At 39.1% G+C, this 10,853-nt stretch overlaps 1 annotated feature.

The window, feature by feature from the left end:
- Window positions 1,346-1,904: an enhancer, noted in NCBI's record as "OCT4-NANOG hESC enhancer chrX:6610973-6611531 (GRCh37/hg19 assembly coordinates)". NCBI's record gives its function as "activates a minimal SCP1, AML or CMV promoter by ChIP-STARR-seq in primed H9 embryonic stem cells {active_cell/tissue: H9 hESC(primed)}" and the evidence as "EXISTENCE:reporter gene assay evidence [ECO:0000049][PMID:30033119]".

Raw genomic sequence — 10,853 nt, 5'->3', positions numbered from 1 at the left:
CACTTCGGCCTGTTTGAATTTTAAAAATCTTTGTTTTCAGCACTTCTGAGCCATTGCGCTAATAAGACTTTACCCACTAAGCATCTATTTGCAATCATTTATTGCCACTCCTAAGTCCATCTACAGCCCTGAAAACTGAAGAGAGAACTTATGCTTTCCATGTAGACAAACGAAAATCCCTCCAAAGATTAAATAAAAGAGAAATTACATTTAAATCACAGAAGGAGCGTGGACAGGGTTCTTCATTTAACCAGCAGAGAAAAAGACAATCATTTCCATTCCTGGTCTCTACTGGCATTTCCCTTTATTTTAAATGTTAACGGTGTCACTCACATTTATCTCCTTTTGCATCTCCTCAAAGCAGTTTCCTGTACTTTCACAGACAAACATGGCAGGCCGGAGTGTAGTTAACAATGCCAGGATTTCTGGAAAAAATTCCTAGGTCTTTTGATCTGTCAATTCAGTGAAGAGATTGAGCTCCCGCAATGTGGTCAAAGGCAGGACTCCACTTGAAAGGGGCAAAAGCTACTGAAAAAAAAAAAAAAAGAAGAAAGAAAAGAATAAAAAGAAAAGTTTCATACACATTAAAATGTTCTTATTATATATAAATTATACTGGAAAATACATTAAATGTGAATTCAGCTCTTCAGTTTCTTCCAGATGATAATCTTAGTGTTAGTGTTCATAGACAGGATTTTCTCTTTTTGTTTCTAATCCAAATAACAGTTGTTTCGGGTTAAAAGGCTTTTCTGCAGGTTTTGGTGTGTTCATTGCACACAATAGCTGCAAAACTGCTGGCTGTGCCTTAGAGGGGTGACATTATTGTGCATTTACTGAGCATGCAAGGAGTACAGAATATATTTTAGGGGCTGGGATCAATACTGGAGGGGCAACAATGAACATCCCACGGCCCCAACTCTGTGTAACTCTGAATCTTGTGGGAAAACCGCTGAAAGGGTTCCAGAGAAATAGTGCACGTGCGCCCACAAACACACACACACACACACTGTGCGATCACAGAACGGAAAAATATAGCTCTTGAAAATTAATTAAATAACTGGACATAGAGTAACATCCAGGGATCATGGTTCTCATAATCAATACGAGTTCTGATAAGAATGTCTTACGTGTGTGAAATATATATATATACATACATGTCTATACACACACATATACGTATATATATAATATAAAATATCTATTTAGATACAAATACATATTTATATTATATATATTTATATATTGTATGCATATTGTAGATTAAAATTGAATACCTGATATGTGTGATCTGGTATTCAATTGTCTTTCCTACATATGAGCTGTGTAATTTTAGGCAATTTGTTTAACCTTTGTAATTCTCCTTTTGTGCCTAGAAAATGGAGATAGCAAATGTACTAGGGTCTTCATGTGTTACCCGAAATTCACTTGTTAAAAACAATTGTGAACAATTGTGGTTTACATCAAAATTAAGCCCCCTCTCCCCAACCATGGCATGAACTTCCTCCTCTGGGCCAGAGCACTCCAAAATTTAACCTGAAAGACTGGTTCCAGTTAAATGACCGGAAGTGGGGGGTCGGACATACCTCATTATGCCTTCCTCCCTTGTGGAATTCAGGAACAGCCGACCAGCATTTAACATCAAGAGACCTTAAGTCCGACAAGAAACATTTACCGTCTATTCTCTCTGAAGCCTGCTACCTGGAGGCTTCATCTGCATAATGAAACTTTGTTCTCCACAATCTGTTATCCTAACCCAGACATTCCTTCCTTTCTATTCATAATAAAACTTTTAAATCTACCTATAACCTGGAAGGCCTCCACCCCTCCCATCCCCCACCCCTACAACTTTGAGTTGTCTCACCTTTCTGGACCAAAGGAATGTATATCTTAAATGTACTTGATTGATATCTCATGTCTCCCTGAAACGTAAAACGAAGATGTGCCCCGACAGTCTTGGTCACATGTTCTCAGGTCCTCCTGAAGGCTGTGTCACAGGCCATGTCACTCGTATTTGGCTCAGAGTAAATCTCTTCAAATATTTTACAGAGTTTGACTCTCTTCATAAACAGTTTAAATTCCTATGTCATAAAAATAAATCTAAAATGTACTCTTTGTTTTATGTCTATATACATGTAAATATAAATATACAGTCATGCAACATATAATATTTCAGTCAACAATAGACTGTATAGATGATCGTGGCCCCATAAGGTTATAATATCATGTTTTCACTATACTTTTTCTGGGTTTAGATATGTTTAGATACATAAATACCATTGTGTTACAATTGCCTACAATATTCAGTACAGTAATATGCTGTGAAGGTTTGCAGTCTAGGAGCAGTAGGCTGTACCATACAGTCTAGGTGTGTAGTAACTACACCTTCTGGGTTTATGTAAGGACATTGTGATGTGCACAATGATGAAATCTAATGACCCATTTCTCAGAATGTAGTCCCATTGTTAAGCAATGCATTGCTATATATACATATATAGTTACTGTATGCATATATATTTACTTACACAGTATATATTTATACCATATATAGTAACTGTATATATGTATATATGTACTCATTTTTATATATACTTATATTTATATATATTTATATGTACTACAAAGAGCATGCTTTAGATACACTTTTATGACACTGTATGGATTAAAAAATAAGTTTTAATTTATATCACAAGTTGTAATATATATCACAAGTTTTAATATATAATATATTTTATATATTAATATATAAAATTATAATATAAAAATATATAAATACAATATTTAATATAAAAATTATAGCAGTATTATTTTATATTTCATAAAATATATTAGCTTATATACTTACAAAAACTTCCCCTAGCATATATTGCTTTGTCATCTATATATATTGCAATGTAGGGTATGTTACGTGTACTTTTATAACATCACATAGATTAAAACAACTATTAATCATGCTGATTTTTCCATAAATATATAGTATTCCTGAAGTTTATAAATTTCTGAAGTGGTTTTGACATATAACCTTTGAAGCAGTACCAGTCTCCCATGGCAATTCCAAATAGCATAGCCAGTCTTTAACAACATCAATTCTGATTCTCCTATTCAAGACGTAGCTTGTTTTTTGAAGACCCAAATCAGAGATATTTTAAAGAAATATTGCCTGTTGAAGAATAAAAAATAAAACTGATTGGTATGCAATTATGTGTTGGGGAATAAAATATTATGCAAGGTTTGCAAAGGAACGCATTTTTTAAGAAACGCTACTGCTGCATTTTTAAAAAGCCATGAAACTATAAGTGATACAAAATGTATAAAATTCGATATTCATTTCTGGTAAACAACCTGCTGCCGTATATTTTATTGCACATCTACAAAGCGAACTTTTCATGTTTTGATTTAGCAGTTGCTGTGGGAGATATTTCCTTTGCTCTGTGCTTGAGAGGTTAGAGGCTTAATATGTAGAGAAGAGGCCATGCAATGTAGAGTAAGACAGATCTGGCATTCAATTGTCTTTCCTACATGTCAGCTGTGTAATCTTAGGCAATTTATTTAACCTTGTAATTCTCTTTTTGTACCTAGTAAATGGAGGTAGCAAATGTACGAGGGTCTTCATGTGTCCCTCCAAATTCACATGTTGAAATTTAATTGGTCATGTGATAGTATTAAGGGGTGGAGCCTTAGGTGATGAGGGTGGAGTGTCACGGATGGGACCATGACCCTTATAAAATGGCTTGAGGGAGTGAGTGTATTCTGTCTTGCTATGAGAGTGAGAGGTGACAGCGTGCTGGTAGTCCTCAGAGCCCTCACTTGCTCTCGGCGCCTCCTCTGCCTGGGTTCCCACTTTGGCAGCACTTGAGGAGCCCTTCGGCCCGCCGCTGCACTGTGGGAGCCCTTTTCTGGGCTGGCCAAGGCTGGAGCCCACTCCCTCAGCTTGCAGGGAGGTGTGGAGGGAGAGGCGCGAGCGGGAACCAGGGCTGCGCGCAGCGCTTGCGGGTCAGCTGGAGTTCCGGGTGGGCGTGGGCTTGGCTGGCCCCGCACTTGGAGCGGCCGGCCGGCCCTGCCGGCCCCGGGCAGTGAGGGGCTTAGCGCCCGGGCCAGCGGCTGTGGAGGGTGTACTGGGTCCCCCAGCAGTGCCAGCCCACTGGTGCTGCACTCGATTTCTCACCGGGCCTTAGCTGCCTTCCCACGGGGCAGGGCTCGGGACTGCAGCCCGCCATGCCTGAGCCTTCCCCCGCCTCCGTGGGTTCCTGTGCAGCCCGAGCCTTCCCGATGAGCGCCACGCCCTGCTCCACGGCGCCCAGTCCCATCGACTGCCCAAGGGCTGAGGAGTGCCAGCGCATGGCGCGGGACTGGCAGGCAGCTCCACCTGCAGCCCCGGTGCGGGATCCACTGGGTGAAGCCAGCTGGGCTCCTGAGTCTGGTGGGGACATGGAGAGTCTTTATATGTAGCTCAGGGATTGTAAATACACCAATCAGCACCCTGTATCTAGCTCAGGGTTTGTGAGTGCACCAATCGACACTCTGTATCTAGCTGCTCTGGTGGGGCCTTGGAGAACCTTTATGTCTAGCTCAGGGATTGTAAACACACCAGTCAGCACCCTGTGTTTAGCTCAAGGTTTGTGAGTGCACCAATCGACACTCTGTATCTAGCTGCTCTGGTGGGGCCTTGGAGAACCTGTGTGTCGAAACTCTGTATCTAACTAATCTGATGGGGACGCGGAGAACCTTTGTATCTAGCTCATGGATTGTAAACGCACCAATCAGCGCCCTGTCAAAACAGGCCACTGGGCTCTACCAATCAGCAGGATGTGGGTGGGGCCAGATAAGAGAATAAAAGCAGGCTGCTGGAGCCAGCAGTGGCAACCGGCTTGGGTCCCCTTCCACACCATGGAAGCGTTGTTCTTTCGCTCTTTGCAATAAATCTTGCTGCTGCTCACTCTTTGGGTCCACACTGCTTTTATGAGCTGTAACACTCACCGTGAAAGTCTGCAGCTTCACTCCTGAAGCCAGCGAGACCATGAGCCCACAGGGAAGAACGAACAACTCCAGCCGTGCCGCCTTAAGAGCTGTAACACTCACCGCAAAGGTCTGCAGCTTCACTCCTGAGCCAGCGAGACCACGAACCCACCAGAAGGAAGAAACTCCTAACACATCCGAACATCAGAAGGAACAGATTCCAGACGCGCCACCTTAAGAGCTGTAACACTCACCGCGAGGGTCCCGGCTTCATTCTTGAAGTCAGTGAGACCAAGAACCCACCAATTCCGGACACAAGAGGGTGCAGCAAGAAGGCTCTCAGTAGACACCACATGCAGGTGCCTTGACCTTGGACTGCGCAGCTTCCAGAACTGTAAGAAATAAGTTTCTGTTTTTATACATTACCCAGCCTAAGATATTTTGTTATAGCAGCAACAACAGACTAAGACACTATGCCTACATAGCTGGCCAATGGATAAATGAATACATTTATATACAATTGACCCATGAACAATGCAATTGTTAGGGGTGCTGACCTTCTGCACAGTTCAAAATCTGCATATAACTTCTGACTTCCCCCAAAAACTTAACTACTTACAGCCTCCTGTTGGCCAGCCTTCCTGATAACATGAACACATACTTATGTGTTTATGTATAACACATACATATGTGTTAACTGACTGTTTATCATGTATGTTTATAACTAAACTGTTGGTTAACACATACATAAGTTAACACATATGTATGTATTAACCAACTGTTTATGTTATACACACACGTATGTGTTAGCCAACTGTTTATCATATGTACATGTTATACATATGTGTTAACAAATGTGTGTGATTTATGCATTCGTGACATGAATATATTTTGTGAATTAATGACATGCCTTTTTCCTATTTTTTTCAATATTTCTAGGCCATGCAGTTTATCTGTGAGTTTTTAAAAATTGTCACAATCTCAATAAAAAAAAATTCCAACATATTTATTAAAAAAAAAATTTTGTATAAGCAGACCCATGTAGCTCAAACCTAGATTGTTCTAGGGTCATCTGTGTACATCTATATGATATATGGCTCCATGCCTGGCACAAATGATGTGTTATTTAATAAGTTCTCTGATGTAAGGTAGAGTGTTCCTTTTCTATTAGTGTACTTTAGGAATGGTGAAGGCAAACCACAGAGGCCAGATAAATAAAGGACGAAAATGACATACGGTTTGGCTCTGTGTCCCCACCCAAATCTCATGTTGAATTGTAATCCCCAGTGTTGGGGGAGGGACCTGCTGGGAGGTGATTGGATCATGGGTGTGGATTTCTGCCTTGCTGTTCTCATAATAGTGAGTGAGTTCTCAGGAGGTCTGGTTGTTTAAAATTGTGTCACACTGACTCCCTTCGCTCTCTCCCCTCCTGTGCCATGGTGAGACGTGCTTGCTTTTCCTTTGCCTCTGCCATTATTGTAAGTTTCCTGAGGCCTACCAGTTATGCTTCCTGCTCAGCCTGCAGAACTGTGAGTCAATTAAACTCTTTTGTTCAAAATTACCCTGTCTCAGGTAAGTTCTTTTTATCAGTATAAGAATGAAGTAATACAATGACCAACTAGGAAAAGACCATGGCTCTTCATATGGGGCATCAGCTCTTCCTGAGTGGAGCAAGGATTACCAGGCAGGAATGCAGCTTTTATATTGCTTGTTCTCTGCATTTTTCAAGAACAGTCCCAAAACTTCAGATTTTATGTAAATATCCAAATTTTCAAATGTTGGCAACTGATTTGATTAAAGAAGAAAGTACGTGTAGCACAAGCACATTTGAAAATAATATGAAAATAATAGAAACATCAGCACTTTATTGAAGAAGAACCGGCCCATAAGCTCATTTTTGAACTGTTTTCTTCATCCACCATGTAGATGAATGGTTCTCACCTGGGGGCCAAACCTGAACTGTTGTAGTAAAGAAGGCTGCCAAAACCCACCAAAACCAAGATGGTGACAAAAGTGACCTCTGATCATCCCCACTGCTCATTATATGCTAATTATAATGGATTAGCATGTTAAATGACACCCCCACCAGCGCCACGACAGTTTGCGGATGCCACGGCAACAGCAGGAAGTTACCCTATATGGTTTAAATAGGGGAGGAACCTCCAATTCCAGGAATTGCCCACACCTTTCCTGGAAAACTCATGAATAATCCAAACCTTGTTCAGCATATAATCAAGAAATAACTATAAGTATACTCAGTCCAGCAGCTCAAGCCACTGCTCTGCCTATGGAGTATCCATTCTTTATTCCTTTACTTTCTTAAAAACTTGTTTTCACTTTATGGACTCACCCCAAATTCTTTCTTACATGAGGTCCAAGAACCCTCTCTTGGGGTCTGGATCCGGACCCCTTTCCAGTAGCAGAACAACCACTTGCTTTTTCATGCCTCTGAACTAAGAATAACTTTCACAGTTTTAAATGATTAGGGAAAATTACAAAGAAGAAGAATAATTCACAACACATGGAAATTATATGAAATTCAGATTTCATGCCCGTGAATAAAGGTTTATTGGAATGCAATCACTCATTCACTTTGTATTATCTGTGACTGCTCTCGTGCTACAAGAGCACGGTTGAATAACTGTGATAGAGACTATATGAACTGCAAAATGAGAAATATTTATTATCTGGGTTTTTACAGAAAAAGCTTGTGGACTCCCATTCTCACTGATTCTGATGCATGTTTAAGCTTGAGAACCATTGTTTTAAATCATGCCTTCTCTCCCATCATTGCAATATAATGTCATGGCTGTGTTGAAATGGAAAAGGGAAGAAGAAAAATTGTTTTCAGTCTTCCTTGGTGTATTTGTCTGTTCTCACACTGCTGTGAAGAACTTCCGAGGCTGGGTAATTTATAAAGGAAAGAGGTTTCATCGACTCACAGTTCCCCTGAGCTGGGAGGCCTCAGGAAACTTATAATCATGGCGGAAAGGGAAGAAAACATGTCCTTTTCACTTGGTGGCAGGAAGGAGAAGTGCAGAGCGAAGTGGGGAAAAGTCCCTTGTAAAACCATCAGATCTCATGAGAACTCATTCACTATCACAAGAAGAGCATGGGGAAACTGCCCCCATGATCTAATCACCTCTCACAAGGTCCCTCCCTCAACACGTGGGGATTAAAATTCAGAATGCAATTCAAGATGAAATTTGGGTGGGAACACAGAGCCAGGTCATATCACTGGGTACCTGATTGTGAATCCATTAGAGGCAGACAAGTTAAAAGAGCTTCAGTTTTTGCCTAAGATGGACTGAGTTCAGATTCTTCAGCCCTTTCTTGGAAGTTTAGATATATCAAATTATTTTCCATTCAGATTCCCCTTCTGTAAAGACACAATAAATGATCCACACCATGCAGGATTATTTTGAAGGTTAAATGAATAAAACAGATTATACCTAAAGTCCGTAACACATTTCCTGGCATATAGTAGGTGTTTTAGAAACAAGGTCATCATTTCAGTTTTAAAAGATTATTTTCATTATCTGGAGACTCTAGGAGAGTGTGACATACCAGGAACTGACCTACTGGAACTGAGTCTAGACTTGAAAAAAATATTCATGGCAACATTATATATGTAGAAAAGCACTCAGACATGGAGGGAAATGCTGTATTTCCTTTTCAACTTCTAACATTACAGAAAACTCTTTTAACAGGACTCAAGGAAAATGAGCTTGTAGCGATACAGGTCTTAACTGATCGTTTTCCAGGTGTCTCCTATCATACAAGGCACCTGTTTCAAGTAAGCATTTAATTACTCTTTACTGAATGAACAACATGTCTATTTTTAATTATTTTTGTGTTGTATGATGCATTGTTTTATTAGGCTACTCTTACTTTGTCATATTCCACATCCTTCTCATTTTACCACTAGGAATTATTATCTTTTCCATCTCTCAGGACTAAACATGGTCCCTGAAAGAGACTACTTGATTGATTGAAGACGAAAATGTCTGACATCTTTCATTTATTTAATCCGCAAAACTCATTAAAAAACGTGTTATTCACCACTCCTCCCTGATGGCCATGGTTATGTGGCTCCCACAAGATAGCCTTATACAGTTTTTCATCAGAACACTGCAGGGCATTCTGCAGGCACCCAGCGATCTTCCTGGCCACAGCTGGAAGTTAACTCCTTAGAAATGGACTTTGCCTCATTCCTGTTAATCTTTTCTAAACTGTGAACACTTTTCTTCATGTCTGCCAATGCCTCCCTTCCTTGTTCTTTTCCCAAATGTATTTCCGTCTTTCTCTATTTCCAATGATAGTTCTTAAAAATAGTCATTGGGTTAAAAATTCCTGAAGTAAAAAATAGAACGGCACGACTAGAGTTTCCAGAGAGGGGACTTTGTAAATCAGAGAGATCACTCCATCACCAACTTGAGCAAGACATAATAGATTTCAAGTATTTCTATTTTCTCCTTTAGGTGAAATTGGGAAATTCCAACTTATTGCCTGGAAAATTGTCTCAGTATGCCAGCTCCCTTGAAAGCAATTTTGAATTGGGTGGATGCACAAAAACTCCCTGTCTTGTGAAATTTAAGTCTGCAAGATTATTTTACAGCAACATGTATTGATAAAAAAGGAATTTCTCCAGAGTGGGATACAGCAAATAAGATGGTGTTTGTATATTTCCTCACATTACTATTTTCTGTTTATTTAAAGCCTATTCTGTCATTTGAATTAATCTCTATCACCCCTGCTATTCCTCCTCTGCCAATATCCCTTTTAAAAAATTCACTGGTGAGGTTGAGAGTGAAATGCATTTTTGGCTTAATTTAAAAATTAGATAAAAGTCTCCAGGTGCAAATGCAAGCCCTAAATGGGAAATTCTTGGCAGGCGTATATAATTCATAAAGTCCAGCACCTGTAAATATAACACTAATGGACCTCACTCAACTTTCACATAAAGGGTAGATTTGAATATAGATGAAGAAAGAAAAAACATCTCATTTCATCTCTACATTCATTGTAACAGTCTCCACAAATCAATCTTTTAGCCTTGCTACAGATTTTATTATTTTCCAGAGCAAAAGTTGATCAATTTTTAATCTGGTCAAAAAATTATTCAAAAAACCAAAGGGTTTATTTTTTAACAGAACAATAAAAATATTTTTTGAAAGACTTTATGTATTAGTGAATGTAGCCCTGAAAAGTATGTGTAACCTTGAATTAATAATTTATGCTTTCTTTGCCGATGCTTATTCATTTTGTTCATATAAAAATATAATAGTTTACTCAGATTTTCTTCATTAAAGAATCATATTTTATTTAAATGAAGCATTTATGAAAATAATTGGGCTAAGAAAATGTAGTGTAATAGGGGTCCAAACTGAAAATTATCAGGAAGTTTACATAGAATCATGATTTATTTTTCATAAGAATCATATAAATTGGTGAAGACATACAGTTTAAAATAAATCCAACTAATTACTCCTATATTACCTCTATACCCCACTTTATAATGCCATTCTTATTTTATATATGACAATCTATGCTAGTGTGAAAAGTTGTGTGAGATTTTTGTTCCTCTGTGGAAGCAAAGTTATGAGCTATAGTCAGATGAGTTCTGAAGGCGATGAATTCTCACCTGTCAGTATTTAACAGTGAACAGTGCTTATTGAATTGTTGCTGTCTTCATTATTCTAATAGTTCTTACTCGTATTATTTCAACTGCTATAGAATGAATGATTTAATGTCTTTTACCCAGTAATATATTGCAAGATTTAGCAATTTGCCCATTATTGAAGTAGGCTGAAATTATCTTTTATTTTCTCCAACTTGACTTTTGGTCCGCTTTTCTTCCCTTAATAGGTACACAGTAAATTTTTGTTTCATAGTGTTTA

The sequence above is a fragment of the Homo sapiens genome, chromosome X (assembly GCF_000001405.40).
Source record: "Homo sapiens chromosome X, GRCh38.p14 Primary Assembly".
In the NCBI taxonomy this organism is placed as follows: Eukaryota; Metazoa; Chordata; class Mammalia; order Primates; family Hominidae; genus Homo; species Homo sapiens.
Note: the sequence above shows the minus strand (reverse complement) of the source record. Positions and strands in the feature narration are given on the sequence as shown.